This window comes from Homo sapiens, chromosome 12 (assembly GCF_000001405.40).
Source record: "Homo sapiens chromosome 12, GRCh38.p14 Primary Assembly".
Taxonomy (NCBI): Eukaryota; Metazoa; Chordata; class Mammalia; order Primates; family Hominidae; genus Homo; species Homo sapiens.
Window position 1 is genome coordinate 45,453,358 of NC_000012.12, and position 19,622 is coordinate 45,472,979.

Consider the following 19,622-nt stretch of genomic DNA (forward strand, 5'->3'; position numbering starts at 1 on the left):
AATTAAAAATAGAATTAACATATGATCCACCAATTTCACTTCTAGGTATATACCTAAAAGAATTGACAGTAGGGACTCAAATAGATGTCTGTACACCCGTGTTCATAGCAACATTATTCATAATAGCCAAATGTGGAAGTGACGCAAGTGTCCATCAATGGTAAATGGATTTTTAAAATGTGGTAAATAAACATAATGGAATATTATCAGCCTTAGAAAAGAAGGAAATTCTGACACATGCTACCACATGGATGAACCTAAGTGAAATAAGCCAGTCACAAAAGTACAAATCACACAGGGGTATGATTCCACTCATATGAGGCTCCAAGAGTAGTCAAAATCATAGAGACTGAAAGAATGTTGGTTACCAGAAGCTCGGGGAAGTGAGAACGGGAGATTGTTTTTGGTTTTTTTTTTTTTTAGGGTTGAGTCTATGTCATCCAGCCTGGCCTTAAATTTTGGACTCAAAGCTGGAACGATATGCATGCACCACTGAGCCCAGCATGGAGTTATTTTCTTAATGGGTATAAGAGTTTACGTTTTGCAGGATGAAAAGAGTTCTGGAGACTGGCTGTATAATAATGTGAATGTACTTTACACAACTGAAACAGTACATTTAAAAATAATTAAGATAGGCCAGGCACGGTGGCTCACGCCTGTAATCCCAGCACTTAGGGAAGCCGAGGCGGGTGGATCACCTGAGGTCAGGAGTTCAAGACTAGCCTGGCCAGCATGGTGAAACCCTGTCTCTATTAAAAATCCAAAAAAAAATTAACTGAGCGTGGTGGTGTGCCTGTAATCCCAGCTACTTGGGAAAGTGAGGCATGAGAATGGCTTGAACCCAGGAGGCAGAGGTTGCAGTGAGCTGTGAACATGTCACTGCACTCCAGCCTGGGTGACAGAGCGAGACTCTGTCTAAAATAATAATAATAATAATAAAGATGGTAAATTGTGTGTGTGTGTGTATATATATATATATATATATATATTTTTTTTTTTTTTTTTTTTTTTTGAGATGGAGTCTCACTCTGTTGCCCAGGCTGGAGTGCAGTGGCACGATCTCAGCTCACTGCAAGCTCTGCCTCCCAGGTTCACGCCATTCTCCTGCATCAGCCTCCCGAGTAGCTGGGACTACAGGCACTCGCCACCACGCCTGGCTAATTTTTTGTATTTTTAGTAGAGACGGGGTTTCACCGTGTTAGCCAGGATGGTCTCGATCTCCTGACCTTGTGATCCGCCCGTCTTGGCCTCCCAAAGTGCTGGGATTACAGGTGTGAGCCACCGCGCCCGGCCTTATGCGTATATTTTGCCACAATAAAAATTAATGTATTTCCCTAATTGCTGGGTACAGGCTTCTACATATGTGCAACAGCTCAATCTTACTTATTTTGCAGTTTAACTCATGATCTTACTAATTTTGGGTGTATGGGATCTCACAAGAGATTTGTGTGAAAGACTTCTTTCACTTTGGTGGTGGGTTTTACAATTTCTACCTGAATTTTATAAAATTTCGCTTTATACTTTTGACCTAACATATTAGGTACATGAGTTTAGAATTACATCTTCCTAATTAACTGAATCTTCTATCACATGTATTAACAACACACTATACCACTAATGATGGTTATATTCTGTATCTAATAACTCCAATATCAGGTATTGGGGATCTAATTTTGCTTTTGCTTGTTTCTGCTAACATTTTTACACAAAATGGTTCATGTCCTCTCTGTTTTGAAATTTGGGACTCGGAAGTCATATTTGGGATTTAACCTATAAGAATGCTGCAAAGACTGAGTGTGGGGACAAGCCTCCATGGAGGATGTGTATTTGCTTTTGCCTGGGACCCTGGGGGTCCTCCAAACAAGAACCACTTTGATTCCCCAACTAGGATTTCCTAGAGATTCAGGTAGTGTAAATCCAATCCCAAACCCACATATGGGAAGGCCCTGATTGCATCAGAGAAGACTCTCCCCGCACCCCCAACCTAGAGCTTGGGCCATGATAGACAAGTGTCTTTGTTATTTCCCTTTGCAGACTGCTGCATTTTTTTCTAATCCATACTTTTATTTAAGATGTATCCCTTGAGGTCCTGGCTTTAGAGAACCAACCTTCTACCCTGAGTGGATCTAAAGCCCCATCTCTTTCCTTCTGTTCAGCCATTGCAAGAGAGCCCACTTGGTTATTAAAACTGACAAACGTCACTCAGAAGCCAGTGCTTCAGGATGAAATTGCTACACAGGTTTCCAGCTCCTCCTTTGTTTTGATCCCCTGGAGATTTATCTTATAGTCCTACAATTTCAGCTATGTGTTTAAAGGATGTTTGTTGTATTTTACCTAGCATTCCTAGGAGTTTTGTATTAGGTGGCTTTTCAGGATAGCTAGTCTACCATAGTACCAAAAACAGAGGTCCATTTCTTACTCTTGTAATTAAAAAAAAAGTTTTCTTACTTAGCAAGTGAAGACACAGAGGAGTTATCAAAACAGTTTCCACTACGATAAAATCTTTATCAGTCATATAACTCCCATGTTCACTTCTGTTATCCCTTCTTTGTTCCCAGATTGCTCTGGTAGTAAACTACCTAAGATGAGTTGAATGTGGGCTGATTAGGACACTGCCTAAGGGGTGGAGGGTGGGGCTGATGGGAAGCTCCATCTCATTCTGAGTCCAGACTTGAAGAAAGAAGAACCCCCAGACTACAGTGGGGCAGGAAGATACTGAGAAGGGAAAAAAAATCAGAATGAGTCCTTAAGGCCTGTAATCAGGAAGAAATACAAGAAACTCATCAAAGGCTAAGAGCAAAGGGTCTCACAAGTTGAAAATATAAATGTTCAGGCAACAAGAGTGAATTCTTTAGCACTCCTAAATTAGGCCACTTTTTCCTGGCTTATTTAGCAAGTATTTTTATCTAGATTACCTATAAGGTGGATTACGTCCTTAAATAAAATGTGTTTTTCTACATCATCAGGAAGAAAACAAGTCACAGAGAATTGGAATAACTGGCACCAAAGCCACATGTTTGTCCATCCCTGAGCCAGGAAAGAAACTCAGGATTGACAGGTTGTGCACTCCTGTCCCATTGATCTCTCCTCTACCCCTGCGGCTCTTCTCCCTTGTCACGGAAGAAATGAGCTCTCGCTTTAACACTGGGTGACAAAGCAGAATTTCCCAGAGGACAGAACATTCTGGAGGACATCCGTGGATATCCTAAACATCTTTATTAGTCTTTGAGTTTAGCACAGCCTTATCCAAAACAGGGAAGCAAACACTGCCCATCAAAAAGACAGCAGGTGAGCACGACTTCTAAATCAACAAAATAAATTTACTTTTAGGAAAACAAAAGGAAAGAATATCAAAGTGAAAATTTTCATAGGACTTTTCAGGCTTCAGAAAACTGCATCCCATAAGCCAAATCCAGCTAGCCACCAACTTCTGGAAATACAGGGACACACTTTATTGCACTTTACAGATATTGCATTTTTTTACAAATTTATGGCAAGCCTGCATTGAGCAAGTCTTGTTGGAGCCATTTTTCCAAAAGCATGTGTTTACTTTGTGTGTGTCACATTTTGGTAATCTTCACAATATTTCAAACTTTTTCACTGAGTGATCAAAGATCAGTGATTGCTGATGTTACTATTTAATAATTTGATGTTATTATTTTGGGGTCACTACAAGCTACACCCATAGAAGATGGCAATCTTCATCATAAGTGTGTCTTGTGATTGCTCCACTGACTGGCTGTTCCCCCCCATCTCTCTCCCTCTTTTTGAGCCTATTTCCTGAATTACAAAAATATTAAAGTTAGGCCAATTAACAACCCTACAGTGGCCTCTACATATTCAAATGAATGATAGTCACACATCTCACACTTAAAATCAAAAGTTAGAAATGAGCTCAGTGAAGAAGGCATATCAAGAGCCAAGATACGACAAAAACTAAGCCTCTTGTGCCAAACAGCCAAGTTGTAGATGCAAAGGAAAAGTTCTGGAAGGAGATTAAAAGTGCTAACCCAGCAAACACATGAATAATAAGAAAGCTAAACAGTCTTATTGCTGATATGGAGAAATCTTAATGGTGTCAAAAGAAGACCAAACTAGTCACAACATTTCCTTAAGACAAAGCCTAATCCAGAGCAAGTACCTAAATCTCTTCAATTCTGTGAAGAGTGAGAGAAGTAAAGAAGTTTGGAAGAAGTTGATTCCAACTCTTATGGATGACTTTGAGGGATTCAAGATCTCAGTGGAGGAGGTAATTGTAGACATGGCAGAAATAGCAAAGGAACCAGAGTTTGAATTGGAGCCTAAAGATGTGACTGAATTGCTCTAGTCTCATGATCACACTTGAAGGAATGAGAAGTTGCTTCTTATGGATCTGCAAAGAAAGTGTTTCTTGGGATGGAATCTACTCCTGATGAAGATTCTGTGAGCATTGTTGAAATGACAACAAAGAATTTAGGCTATTACACAAGTTAGTTAATAAAGCAGCAGCAGCATTTGAGAGGATTGACCCCAATTTTCAAAGAAGTTCTACTGTGGATAAAATGCTATAAAACAGCATCGCATGCTACAGAGAAATCTTTCATGAAAGAAAGAATCCATTGATGGCAACAAGTTCATTGTTGTCTCATTCTAAGAACTTGCCACAACTACCCCAACCTTCAGCAACTACCACCCTGGTCACTCAGCAGCCCTCTATATTGAGGCGAGACCCTCCACCAGCAAAAAGAATATGACTCGTTGAAGACACAGATGATTGTTAGCAATATTTAGCAGCAAAGTATTTTTTATTTAAGGTTTGTACAATTTTTAGACATAATGTTATTGCACAATTAGTAGATTACAGTATAGTATAAACATAACTTTATATGCACTGGGAACCCAAAAGTGTGTGTAACTTGCTTGTTTGCAATATTTGTTTATTGTGGTGGTCTGAAACCAAACCTGAAATATATCTGAGGTATGGCTTTAAGTTTTATTGGAACACAGCCAGTCATTATTATCTATGGCTGCTGCTACACTACAGTGGCAGAGTTGAGTAGCCATAGCAGACCACATGACTTAGATGCCTAAAATATGTACCATCTGGCCGTTTACAGAAAAGAGTTTGCCAACCCCTGTCAAAACTCTCTATTTTAGTCTTCCTGTCTAGTCATGATTCAGTATGACCAATCAAAGATAATGAAGATGTCTCAAAGGACATTTTCCTCACCATTTTGCTGGAGACATCCCACCTTTACAATCTTTCTGCCTGCAGTATGCTACCTCCCTGCTCTCTCTCTATACTAGTCACTGTTATCTCTGGCTAAGGTTTCTTCATTTGTAAAAGGAAATATAGTATCTACTTCATTAGGTCATTGTGAGAATTAAAGGAGATACTCAGTAAATGGTGGCTATGATTAAAATTCATGCATTCATTCAGCACATATTTGCTGTATTTGTTACAAGTTGAATTGTACCCTCCCCCTAAATTCACTTTTGGAAATGCTAACCACAATACCTCAGATTGGGACCTTATTTGGATGTAGGGTCTTCAGAGAGGACATCGAGTTAAAATGAGGTCATTAGGTGGAGTCTAATAAGACTGGTATTATTATAAGAGGAAGGAATTCGGACACAGAAACTCAACAAAGAGAAGATAAACTTACAGAAAAAGGAAACAGCCAACTACAAGCCAAAGAGAGAGGCCTGGAACAGATATTTCCTTCACAGCCCTCATAAGGTACCAACCCTGCCAACATCTTGATCTCAGACTTCTAGGCTCCAGAACTGTGAAACAATAAAATTTCAATTGTTTCAGCCACTCAGTCTGTGATACTTTGTTACAACTGCCCTAGCAAACTAATATATAGATTTCTATAAGAAAACAGCCAAAAACAAAAAACAGATAGTGACGTGGAACAAGGAGGTGCTACTTTGTATTAGTAACTCATTTCTTTGAGATGACATTTGTGCTATGACCAAAATAGTTACAAGAAGAAAATCATAAGACAATCTGGGGAAAACACATTCCAGCTGAAAAAATGATAAATGAAAAAGGCCTGGAACAGAAATGAGTTTGCTGGTACAGCTCTTTTCTCCTCCACCTTTTTCTTATCTTAAACACAGATGATGTAGATGTGATGTCTGGAGCTTTAAGAACTATCTTGGGACCATGAGGCAACAAACATAAGGTGAAATGTGAACATGCTGAGAGAAAAAAGCAAGGATCTGAGTACTTCATGGAATCATGAAACAGCTGCACCAATACTACTAATTGCTTACTCAGGATTTCTTGTTCTGTGAGAAAAATAAATCCCTTTTTGTTCAAGGCATCATTAGTCAGTTTTTCCATGACTTGGAGCCAAAAAACTTTCTTAACAGACATTACATTGTACAGTGTGGTAAGGATTACGAGACTTTGGCAGTTTTTAATCTGAGGAAAAACAAAGTCTGATTTAAGTTTTTAAAAGAACATTCTGTGAGATTAGGAACTATAGAAATGTAGTCATAGAAATTAGGAATAGGTTTTTTAAGGCTCTGTAGGTCGTAATTTTGAATTTTATTCTAAATGTAATAGGAATTTCCTACAAGAAGTGTCAAATCTGATTTGTATTCTTAGAGAACACCTTAGGTTGGTGAGTTAGGAGACCAGTAAAGAGACAACTGCAGTAGCCAGAAAAAATATGATGGTAGATTCACAAGGGTGATATTAGTAAAGATAGAGAAAATTGGGGGAAAAGAACATTCTGGCTACTGAAATGCAGAGAAGCCTGTTATCAAACTAATCAAGGAGAAGAATAGTGGTGGTTGGTACCTGATAGATTTAGGAAGCATTTTGGACATAGCAGTCTTGAGTGGACTTGCCAGTGAATTGGATGCAGGGTGAATCGAGAAAAAAATGGGGAGTGAGAATAACTTACTTTTTGTTTGCCTGAGCAACCAGGTAGATGGAGATGATATTAAGTAGAAGAGGTCAGTGTTAAAAAAAAAATTAAGAGTTCAGAGTTATGTTTTCACCATGTTAAATTTCAGATCTCTCTTCAGAGAAATGCAAATCAAAACTGCAATGAGACATCATCTAACCCCAGTTAAAATGGCTTATATTCAAAAGGCAGGCAATAACAAATGCTGGAGAGGATGTGAAGAAAAGGGAACTTTTTATGCTGCTGGTGAGAATGTAAATTAGTAGAAACACTACAGGGAACAGTTTGGAGTTTCCTCAAAAAACTAAAAATTGAGCTACCATATGATCCAGCAATCCCACTGCTGGGTATATACCCAAAAGAAAGGAAATCAGCATATGGAAGAGATATCTGCACTCCTATATTGGTTGCAGTACTGTTTACAATAGCTAAGATTTGGAAGCAACCTGTGTCCATCAACAGTTGAATGGATAAAGAAAATGTGGTACATGGAATACCCTTCAGCCATACAAATAAATGAGATCCAGTCATTTGCAACAACATGGATGGAACTGAAGATTATTAGGTTAAGTGAAATAAGCCAGGTACAGGAAGACAAACATTGCATGTTCTCATTATTTGTGGGATCTAAAAATAAAGACAATTGAATTCATGGACATAAAGAGTAGAAGGATGGTTACTAGGGGAAGGGTAGTGGGGGATTAGAGAAGAGGGAAGATGGGGATGGTTAATGGATACAAAAAAATAAGACCTACTATTTGATAGCACAACAGAGTTACATTGTAGTAAATAACTGTACATTTTTAAATAACATAAAGAGTGTAATTGGATTGTTTTTAACTCAAAAGATAAGTGCTTGAGAGGATGGATACCCCATTCTCCATGATGTGCTTATTTCACATTGAATGCTAGTATCAAAACATCTCATGTACCCCATAAATATATACACCTACTATGTACCCACAAAAATTAAAAACAAAATTTAAGTTTCAGATCTTTGTAAGACTCCCAGATGAGGACATCAAGTAAGCATTAAATATATAAATGTGGAGTTCAGGGATGCTTTTAGACGCAGACATGTACATTTTGATTCATCTGTATGCAAGTGTAAGCCTAGATGTGATCACTGAGAGAAAAGCAGCCCATCCAAAACCAAGCTCTAACATTTGCCAAGCATTAGATATTGATCAGGGGAGGAGGGGGAGGAAGAGACTCAGAAGGAACGGTTATGAGAAAAGGAGGAGGAAAGCTAGAAGAGTGTGTTATCTTGGAAGCCAAGAGAAGAAGTTGTTTCAGGAAGGAGTGGGCAGGTCAAACACTTCAAATGCTGACAGGTCAACAAAGACAGGACATTTGGATTTAGCAAGATGATTAAACTGTGAAAATAGTTTTAGTGGATTGAGCGATCAGAGCCCACTCAAGTGGCTCAAACATTGGCCGTAAAATTTTTTTTAAAAGGAGCAGAGAGTGACTATAGGCAATCATAATGGGAGAACTGGGGGAAATGTAAGCACTTCCCTGAGGACTACATTCTCTCCTTTCACTTGCCTTTTTAATTTTTTTTCTCTCCTCTTTCCCTTTATGCTACATGATCCCTTGGCTAGCACCCAAAGCCCCGTGTGAAACAAGTGGTCTGGGTGTCTCAGGCATGGTGGTCCAAGGCAGGGAGTAGATACTGTCCTTCCTTTTGCTGCTTTTCTAATTGCACACCAGGGCTGAAAGTTATTTGATCATGGTCAGACATAATTTTCTGATTCCTTTGTATGTCAAATCTTGCAGCCTAGCATCACCTTCATTTCATTTAATTTACTTAGTTTCTCAAAAGCAGCAGAGAACGAGTTGTGTTTGTGTTAGTTTATTTTAATGTATAATGAGCGATTCAAATGATTGCACATCACACATTCAAATTTGGTTGAATGCGTAATCATTTAAATGAACACAGGTGCCATGCGCCTGTGTGCGCCTGGAAAACCACCCTCTGTGCTTCATGTGGAAAGATGATGATGTACGGGCTGTACAAACCTCATATCTTAATTTTTTCTTTTCTTTTTTTTTTTGTGAGATGGAGTCTGAAGTGATGCAATCTTGGCTCACTGCAACCTCTGCCTCCTGGGTTCAAGGGATTCCTGTGCCTCAGCCTCCTGAGTAGCTGGGATTACAGGCATGTGCCACCGCACCTGGCCAAATTTTTGTATTGTTAGTAGAGACTGGGTTTCACCACGTTGGCCAGGCTGGTCTCAAACTCCTGACCTCAAGTGATTCGCCCACCTCAGCCTCCCAAAGGACTGCGATTACAGGCATAAGCCATGGTGCCCGGCCTTTAATTTCTTTTTAATTTCATTCTGCCTCAACTTCTTTGTTTTTTCCACCCAATAAAACGTGCTGAACCCTGAGCTCTGTGAAGTAGATACTTGCCCCAACAGCAAACCTCAAACTATTCTGAAACACACATGAAACAGCAAGCTTGCAAATGTGGAGTGTATTTTTAACTTTGGGGATGAAAAACTACAAATCTGTGCTCTTTAAAATTAGCATTTCCAGCAAGGTATGAAACCCTGGAAACAAAGATGAAAGAAATTAAATTATCTTCTGTAATAATGCTCCTGTGAGGTGGGACTAATAGCACAGAAACTTCTTTCATGTCACTCCTGACACTTTAGTATCAATCCTCCCAGGCAAGCTAATGTAATCAATTCTGGCATGTTTCACTGTAGTGCTGACTGCTATAGCATTATTAGTACGACCGTGTTATTTCATAATTAACTTACCTTTTATTTTTCAGACAGGAACTAGATCTAGTGAAACAAAAACACTTGGGGGATCTCTGAATAGGCTCCTGAACTGTTTATACATGCATATCACTAAATCCCAGTCGAAGCTTAGATGTAAGAAGCAGTTCATTGTTGCTCCCTAACCTGTTCCAGCACTATGGGGAAGTCAGAAGTCCTTGTTGGCTACCATAAGTATCATCAAAGAAATTCTTCACCACTGATCACTTATTATACCTGAATGCATGTTAAGAATAGCTGAGAAACCTGTGCTTCTCAAAAGGAGGTAGGTGGACCATTTTCATCAGATTCACCTGAAGGGCTTATTAAGAAGTACAGATTCCTGTATGCCATACTACTCAATCAGGATCTCTGACGGGAGCCCTGGCGTCTGCATTTTTAATAGGCTTTCCAAGGATATTTATATCTTCTAATGCTTAAGAACCATTGAATTAAACTATTTTACATCAGCCATCTTTCACCAATGATAATGCTTGTCATTAAGCCATTTCCATGTATATAAACACATATATACACATACATATGTATATATTGTAAAGCCTTGGGTCCTACTGCATCACAATTGGGATGGGTGCCTTGGTGCCCAGCCAACATTCTCTTCTTTGGCAATGCCACTGTCACAGACTCTGCAAAAATGAGTAATGTATCTAGTAGTCCTGGTGCTACCACAGCCATTAAAACTGATTTGACATGGGCTGGAAATCTGACCCAAGCTGAGTCAATGAGAGTCTCTGTTATTAATTCAAACTGAGACCATAAAACTGCAGTAGTTGGTAGTGGTCACTGGAACTGGGAAGCCATTTAGACTCTCAAGGCTGGGATTGTTTGGAGACTGTGTGGATGAATGGGCGGGCAGAGAGGACCGGGCCACAGTGAGAAGCAGAGGGTAAAGCAGGTGCCCTAAATGATGTAGAAATGAAATATGCTGTGGAGAGACAGAGACGAAGCCAAGTGTGGATGAGAGAGGTGAAAAGAACAGGAATCTTGGTTCCTGAAGACTTCTCAGTTTACAATCGCAAACTCATATTATGTACCAGCTCTTAGCTTCCATTTACTTAAGGAGGTGTGTGTTGGTTTCTGCTATTTGCAAGCAAAAACAGCCCTGAATTCAGCAGGGCTATTTTCAAAGTAATTATTTTGAGTAGTTTCATATAGCCTAAAGTTTTTCGTTCAATATTCTTTGATTTTTAATGTTCAGAATAAGCCAAAAGAGTTCCTAGTCTATTACCAAGACCTTCCTAGTAAAATAAAAATTAAAATAAAAAAGGTAAACTCTCTTGGTTTTTTTCTTTGAAAAACTGCTCTTTCATGCTCCTGGGCAGAGTTCAATAAAAACTCACAAAGCAGAAATGTCACCTACCTGAGTTGTCAGGCCACTAGCCAGAGTAGCTGTCAATTAATGTTCCCTGTCTTCCCTTTGGAAAGTTGAGCAGACAAGCTGGCAGGAAAAAGTCCAGTTACCTTCAAGGGTCATCCATCTACTTCTAAGCCAACAAATACCTGCGTATCTTGACTCCACAGCTGAGATCAACTAAAAACAAACCAAATGCTAAAAATCTTTGCTTCAAAAAATAAAAAACAAAAGAAAAAGGATGCCAGTTTAGACAGCAGCCAGCACCTGGCTGGCTTGCTAATGGAGTGCTGGGAACCAAGCCTCCGTCCACTCACCGTATTCATTAGGCAGAGAGAAATTTTCAGATAGATTCCAATGATTGGTGGAAAGGCTCTGAGAAAAGGATGGCATTCCACTCTCCCCCATCCACCCTCCTTTTACTTACCTCCTTTTACTTACTTCCACTCCTCACTCCACTCTCCTGGCAACTGTTCCAGAAAAAGGAGCCGGGAGCCACAAGGGGGACCCAGGCTGGTCTGTGTAAGAACAGGCTGTGCCAGGTTTTCAGATGCAATTAATTTTCAAGATAAGCTCTAAACTTCTGAAATGTCTTTGCAATTGAAATGCTGATACAGTCGTCAACCACTGCAGTACATAATCATAAATCTTGAGCACAGATAGTTTTTGTTGGTAATAATGAAGTACAATATACATTTAATTAGTGTGAGATTTAGGAAACGTGCAGTGTAATAAAACAATATTCTAATTAGGGTTGGGGAAACGTTTAAATACTATTTGTGCAGTACCGTTCAATGAAACTCTTACAAACTACACTCAAATCTGCTGTTTCTAAGCAAAAAAAAAAAAAAAAAAAAAAAAATCAAAACAGAAGCAACAAGTTCTTTATGCCCTTGAATATTAGTTGCAGGGACAGCACTAGATTAAAAACAAATGCTTGGTGGTCATCTGGAGTAGGCAGCTCAGGGGGAAAAGGGAATCCCAGTGCTAAAGTGCTTGCTAGATTTTTGGTAACAGCCCAGGCTGTCCTCACACCTTCATTTACTGTCCTATTAATTTATGCTTCAACCTCCCCAACATCCTGCTCAAAACCCGTCATCTGTTACCTGGGAATGCCACCTGTGCCCACGTCCAGGGATGCTGGGATTATTAATGATGCATTTCCTAAGAGTCCCCAAGTCCTTCAAAAGAATGAGTAATCTAAACTGACACCACGAAAGAAAAACAGCCTAACGAAAGAAAGGTGTGGAAGTCAGGAAGCCTAGAGTCTAATCCTGGCCTTAATTGTAATTTTCTGTGTGTCCTTGAGAACTAATTAACATTTCTGTACTTCATTCTCCTGATCTGAAAACTGAGAATAGCAAGGTTTCATTTGGGCAATGTTGTATAGGTCTGAGATAATTCCTATATTATAATGAATGTGAGTAAAAAGTGATGGGAGAAAAGATGATGTGCCTTTTCTACTCACTCCCACATACACTCAAGTGCATGTAGAGTAGCAATGGAGAAAACGCAAGGGGTGCAGCTTCCCAACTTATTGGTTTTTGTTTATCTTTTAAAGGGAGGATTTAAATACTTTTTAAAGTCAGGGCATTTAGTGTTTAAAGTCAGGGCACTTAGTGTTTAGATAGAGTTCATTTTAATTGTAAATCAAAAAAATTCTCCTGAATGTCATAATCCATATGAAAAGGGTAAAAATAATTTCAATAAGTCCTTACACTAAATAAATACATTTACACTAAATAAATGTATGATCTGGGGCAAGTGAATTAACCCTCCTGTGGCTACGTTCCATCATCCCAAGTGCACTCTCTTACCGAGGAAGTGGTGAGCAATAACTCAGCCAAACTCACCTTATTTTTTTCCCTCTTTATCTGAAGATGTTTTTATATGAATGTAAAAAAAAATTACAGAATTTCTGATCTGGTAAAATATTGAAAAACCACCTAATCTAAACCCTTCCTTTTACTGATAAATTGAGGCCCAGAAACATTAAACAACTTGTCCAAGGTCACACAGGTGGCCAGACACAAAGCCAGGACTGGGCCCTGTGCATACCACAGCTGCCTCATGGGTTTGAGAGAGTTAATGCCCCTCCAAACAATAAACAGGACAACCTATTCATGGCCAACTGGTATAATTTGTCTCCATTTTGCAGTACTGCATATTTGTGAAGATGTTGCCAACCTTTTTTTAACATTGAAAATATATCAGTGATATTATCATTATTTTAAGTCAGCTAGAAATCCCAGAAAAAGGAATTAACAGCTTATTACTTTCAAACATCTCATAACACTATTAGGAAGAATGTTTTTGACATTTTTATGTAGTCAGGTGGAATCTAATGTAAACACTACATTTGCTAGGCTAAAATCTATTTCTCCATCTTTGTTTTCTGCAGAGAAATTTCACTGACTTAAGATGTAGTTCACAACAAAAATTGATAGGAAAATATGGTCCTAACATATAGGAGCTAATTAGTATGGATTTCCTTTCAGGCATATTTTGCTTATGCTACCAGACACTAGGAAAGATCCTTACATGCAAGTTAGTTTAATCATCAGCTAATCTTCTTCTATGTTTGATTGATCCACATTGAATGAAGTTAATAGATTGTAAAGGTGGTTCCCTAGCTTTTGGGTTCTTGTACTATAAAAATTCTGCACTTACTCCTATACCCCACCAAAATTGGAAACAGACATAAGATTTCCAACTTTTAATTTTCCCAAGTTAAAAAAAATAGCTAACCAACTGTCACCACCATTCCATGAAAGAAACAATTCAAACAACAACAAAAAAAGCAAAAGAAAATATTACATTCTCAAAATAAAAAAATCTTTCAATGGAATACTTTGACTTTATGAAAAACTAACCACAATGTCACTCCACAATTAAATGGTGTCAACTCCATCATAGTAATTATCAGATAAGATGATGTATTCTAGATGTTTAGTTAAAAGAATGTAAAAGCATTGGACAAAATGCATCTATGTTATGTGTTTTACTTTCTCGTCCTTTAAACCAAGAAGTCAGTGAATTACCTGTGTTAAATATTTAATAAGTGCAGATACCTGAGCGGCACCCCAGATCTTCTGAATCAGAACCTCTGCTACCCTGGGTATAATTTTATTGTGAAATGGCAACAGTACTAGAAGCCAAAAAAACCCCTTGAGAACATTTGAAGTCTCTGCTTGCATTATGATATTCCATTGGCTGAGCCCAACATCAGTCAGATAAGGAAATCTACTCTCCCTGCGTTTTGGGAGGCACTGCAAAGTCACTTTGCAAGGACATGGTTGTCCTGTAATTCTATAACACAGGAGAGAATAAAAAATGGGAATAATAATCCGATCAACTATGGCTTAATTTTGGAAAATGTGCCGTTACTGCAGGAATAAAGATGGCCAACCTAATCATCCAGGTAACTAGGCACGAGTTTCTACTCTCCTTCTGAGTAACAACTTACTTAGACACACGAGTGTTTCCAGAGAAAGGTGCATTCAGAGCAAGCCTACCTTTGATTTCCATCTTGAGAAGGTAGTTCGTCATATTTTATATCAACATCAAGATTTGCTTTTTTTCTTTTAATCATTTTAATGTTAAGTCCTTCTTCACATGCATTTTATCATCTTATCATTTAGATGATAAATTTCACACTTGTCATAGATCCGCTGTGTAGAATAGAACAGCAATTTCTGCACCTGTTTTACTTCATTGCCTACGGCCGTGGTTCATTAAACCCAACTTTCAGAGAGCCAAGCCCAGGCAAGTGCTGTTTCTTTAGAGCACCTACAGGTGATTCAGATGTGCGCCCAGAACTGAGAACTATTGGCTAGGACCTCTGATCCAGGCATGAATACAAATACAACAAAGAAGTAGTGCCACACACTAACTCTCCCTGTGCCAGAAGAAGCTGCAACATTAGTTTGCAAGAAGATAGGTCATTTATAAAATGTCCTCTGGGCCCAATCAGACCAGCAGTATCAGCAGCACCTGGGAGCTTGTGAGAAATGCAGACTCTCAGGCCCCTTCACAGCCCTGCTGGGCCAGGAAACTACATTTTAAACAGATCCCCAGGTGATTTATATCTACATTAAAGTCCAAAAAGCACTGTCATAAATCCGAAGTCCAACTGGGCAAGCAATTCCACGATTCAGTCTGCCCCAGCACACATCTTCTTAGGTTCTTAAGATTCGAGTCCAGGATTCATCGCCGATCATGTTGCAGGTGAATTAATTACTGTATTGATATAGATCATATCATATCTCTTATTTTCCAAAGAAATAAATTAACTGGAGAGGAGGGAACGTTAAATTATGTTAGAAATAGAAAGAGTGGCATTAGCCACCCAGCATGCACTAGTGTGTCACTTTATTGCACTGTGGTCAAAACAAAACAGATATGATCTGGCTCTTGCCTTCAGGCTACTTACATTCTAAATAAAAGATACTGACAAGTAAACAACTACCTAGTGATGGCAGTGGCTGCTGGATCACGCTGGCTACAGCAGGGAGGCACAGCTCCGGCTGCACACTCCATGGAGCCTATGGGAGCCCCGCCCCTTCTGGGCTGGAGTGGGAGCTCACTGGGTGCCGCTGCAGCTGCCCAAACAGCAGCTGCAGACCCAGGCCTCCTGCTCTACGGAGCAGGCAGGAGCCTCGCCTTCCTCAGCGGGGCTACAGCCGCCCAAACTGCAGCTGTGGATCTGAGCCTTCCTGTGCTCTTGGGGGAGGGCCGGGAGCAGGCAGGCTCTGCCTTCCCGGGTACGGCTGCGGCTGCCCTCCTAGGCACAGGACCCAGGCGTCTCTGCAGTCTGCACCCCTGGGGGCCCCAGGAAGGACCCCCTAATCCATGCATGCTCGGGGGTGTCTGCTCCCACTGCCTGGCCTCTCTGCTCCTGGCACCTGCTCCAACCTTCGAGTAGGTTTTGGGACGGAATCCAGGGGCCATGAATGGCAATGGGAGGCAGATTGATTCCTAGGCGGAAGGGGGAAGGTCCCCAGTAAGGCCCCACCTCTGGACCAGGGAAGGCCTGAAAGTAGGGGGCTGGGCTACCAATCCTGCAGACCAGAGTGAGGACTCATGATGCCTCTTCTTTCCCGCCCATGGCTGCCCATGGACCAATTGGCACACACTTCCTCCCCTCTGAGGTCCACAAAAACCCTGGGTTCAAGCAGAGCAGAACAGAGGATGGCCAGAGAGAGGATGAAGAGAGCAAGCGACAGAAAGACAAGGAGACAACCAGCTGCAGAGAGGAGTACCGTCTCCACTGAGAGCAGCAACTGCAGCAGAGAGCTTCAGAGACCTGCAGAGACATCCAAATGACGTGCCTGCAGAAAGGAGCCACCCTCTCCAGGGTCTCCTCTCCGCTGAGAGCTGAACACTCAAGGGGATGACCTGCCTATAGAAAGGAGCTACCCACTCCTCTGAGCTGCTCTGACACCAAATAAAACTCTTCCTCTTCTTCACCCTTCACTTGTCTGTGTACCTCATTCTTCCTGGACACAAGACAAGAACTCAGGCAAAGGTGCCACAGCCACAGAAAATCGACACCCTAGAGATCCCGTAACACTAGTACTTCACGTGGTCTAAAATCCTAAACAAAAAATACAGCAATAAGGTATGGCAGTGACTTTCAAACTTTAGTGTGCACTAGAACCACCTAGAAGGCTTGTGCAACCACAGATCTCCCCAGCCCCGGAGTTTTTGAGGAAGTCTGTGGGGGTGAGAACCCCCACATCTAACAAGTTTTCTCTCACACTTTGAGAACCACAGGGTGATGGAAACAGAATAAAAAACAGAATTCTGGGGCTCAGATGGGGGACACAGAATGAGCCAGAAGTTGACAAGCAGAGAAGATCAAGAAGTGCATTATCAGTTGGCACAATAACAACAGTGGGGTGCATTTGAAGATCTGTGGGAAGTCTACTATGACTGGAGCTCAGGATATGTGAAATGAGGAGCAGATGAGGCTAGAAAGATAGGCCAGGTCCAATTCATGGTGGGGAAGAAGTTTGGGCTTGGCAGCAGAGGAATTTGTATTTTATTCTTTTGGCACTGAGGAGCAATGATATTTGAGGATACAGAGATTTTTTAAGAAGATATAATTCTACGTTTACTTTAAGATAGTAGTTCAGGCAGCGGGGAGGAGGATGGACTGAGAGACAGGAGAATGGAAAGTCAGGAGAGTAGCAGGGAGGCTATGGAAATGACTGAGAAGAATAATCCATGAATAAGGCCCCTTCTGCGGAGCACAAGAAGAGTCCATCATTGGACAGAAAAGAAGGTTCATTCATTAATTTAACACATATTTATTGAGTTCCTATTATATTCCAGGCACTGTGCTAGGCACAGAGGAAACAGCGAGGAAGGGGACAGACAGATTCTTACTCTCATGGAGCTCTTGGACTAGGGGAAAAGAGACAAGGCAATAAGGCCAGCAAAGGAGGAGAGACAATGGAACAATATGTGTGTGATGGCAGAACTGGGGATGGGCCTGTTTGCCTCTTCTAGTTAGGACCGTGAAGGAAGGCTTCCTGGAGGAAGGGACACTTAAGCCTAAATTCTCAATGGCCAAAATGTTTAACAGGGCATGTGATCTGGGCCCTCCTTTGGTCTTCAGCTTATTATAAACCATTATCTCTCTCACTCTTCATACTCTAGAGCTGGGCTTCTTTCCATTTTTCCAGCCTCAGGACCTTTGTGCATGGTTTACCCTTGGCTTGGAATTCTAATAGTTCAGCTTAAACATCGCTTCCACAGAGGATTCCCTATGACCCCAAGATTAGGTCATTACCCTGTTTCACTCTCTGAAATCTCCCTGTATTTCAGCTTCCTAGTACTTATCACAATGCTTATTAATTCCTTAGTTGAGGATTATTTGTTTAATGCCTGTATTCCCTATTAGATCATAAGGTTCATGGGACAGGATTATGTCTGTCTTCTCCATATCTGTATTCTGAGCTCTTAATGCAGTATCTGGAACACAATATGTACTCAGTATTTCATCTCATAAATGGAAACCAAGACCTAAAGAATAAAAAGGAAATAGGAAAGTAGGGTGTGAAGGGAAGGAATAGCATGCATAAAGTCCCTGAGGTAGAACTGGAAGGAGCCCAGCATGGTTGGGTCTGGCAGAGACAGACATAAGAGATGGGCCTGAAGAGACAGTCATTGGGAAGACACTCAGAGTTTGGAACCAGGAATCTCACAGCAGACCTTTTTAAAAGGCCTACTCTGGTTGCTTTACAAACAGTGTTTCAGGAGGATCAAGAGTGACTAATGATATCATTGAAAGGCTTTTCCAAGAGTCCAGGTGCTGGGAACACTGGGCAGGGAGGTAGCACTGGGAAGAGAAAGATAAAGACACTTAGGTGGGATACTTAGGAGACAGAACTAATGGAACTTGGTGGTGAACTGAATGTGAGGATAAAGGAGAAGAATAGTTGTTAAGATTGACCTGGATGTTATTGGTTTGTGGAGACAATCAGTGCCATTTATGGAGGTGGGAACAATGAACCTCCTGGGCCCTGTAGTGCTCCTCCTTGCAATGAGAGAGTACTTCTAACTAAGAACATAGACTGTAAGGGACTGAGACTGCAGAGACAATCCCACAGCCACAGGATTTTAGAGACCGCCAAAGGGACCTTAGAAACCAGTCCAGAATATGTGTGTACATATATTTTACATATACATATAATTCATACTGGATGGATAAAATAGTAAAATTCTTTGAAAAAAGGCTACTACTGCTAAAAATATTTGATCACCACTGTGCTGCGTAATGGTGTCAATTCCCCTACACATTAGCAGATTGATAGGTGACATGCAACCCCAGTTTTGTTACTGCAGAATATTAGTGCAGTTATAGATTTCTTTTTTTTTTGAGACAGAGTCTCACTCTGTTGCCCAGGCTGGAGTGCAGTGGCATGATCTCGGTTCACTGCAAGCTCCACCTCCCGGGTTCACACCATTCTCCTGCCTCAGCCTCCCAGGTACCTGGGACTACAGGTGCCTGCTGCCATTCCTGGCTAATTTTTTTTTTTTTTTGTATTTTTAGTAGAGACGGGATTTCACTTTGTTAGCTAGGATGGTCTCGATCTCCTGACCTCATGATCTGCCCACCTTGGCCTCTCAAAGTGCTGGGATTACAGGCATGAGCCGCCGTGCCTGGCCTAGATTTCTTTTCTGTATCTAGAGGTGGTAACTTTTCTTCTAAATCAGAAGATGGCAAAATTTTTCTGTAAAGGGCCAGATAGTAAATATTTTAGGCTTTGTAGATGCTACAGCCTCTGTTGCAGCTACTCAATTCTCAGCCACAGACAGTATGTAAATCAATGAACATGGCTATGTGATATAGATTGGATATTTGTCCCCACCCAAATCTCATGTTGAAATGTAATCCCCAATGTTGGAGGTGGGGCCTGGTGGGAGGTGTCTGGATCATGGGAGTGGATCCCTCAGGAAATGGCTTGGGTCATCCTCTTGGTGATAGGTGAGCTCTCACTCTGAGTGCACATGAGATTTGGGTTGTTTAAAAGTGTGTGGCACCTCCCCCCACCTACTTTCTCTTTTTCTCTG

At 40.8% G+C, this 19,622-nt stretch overlaps 1 long non-coding RNA gene across 2 annotated transcripts in view, besides 1 other annotated feature; it reads right to left on the bottom strand.

Annotated features, from left to right (window-relative positions):
• LOC105369743 (uncharacterized) overlaps window positions 1–19,622 on the bottom strand; it is a 178,153-nt gene that overhangs the window by 62,666 nt on the left and 95,865 nt on the right. Inside the window, exon 6 of one of the 2 annotated variants that reach the window (XR_944887.3) lies at window positions 15,072–15,334. The exons of the other annotated variant lie outside the window; for it this stretch is intronic. This is a non-coding gene — a long non-coding RNA (uncharacterized LOC105369743). Of the gene's footprint in view, window positions 1–15,071; window positions 15,335–19,622 lie in introns of those variants that run through there. 2 annotated transcript variants of the gene reach the window in all.
• Window positions 15,711–16,256: an enhancer, noted in NCBI's record as "H3K4me1 hESC enhancer chr12:45862851-45863396 (GRCh37/hg19 assembly coordinates)". NCBI's record gives its function as "activates a minimal SCP1, AML or CMV promoter by ChIP-STARR-seq in primed H9 embryonic stem cells {active_cell/tissue: H9 hESC(primed)}" and the evidence as "EXISTENCE:reporter gene assay evidence [ECO:0000049][PMID:30033119]".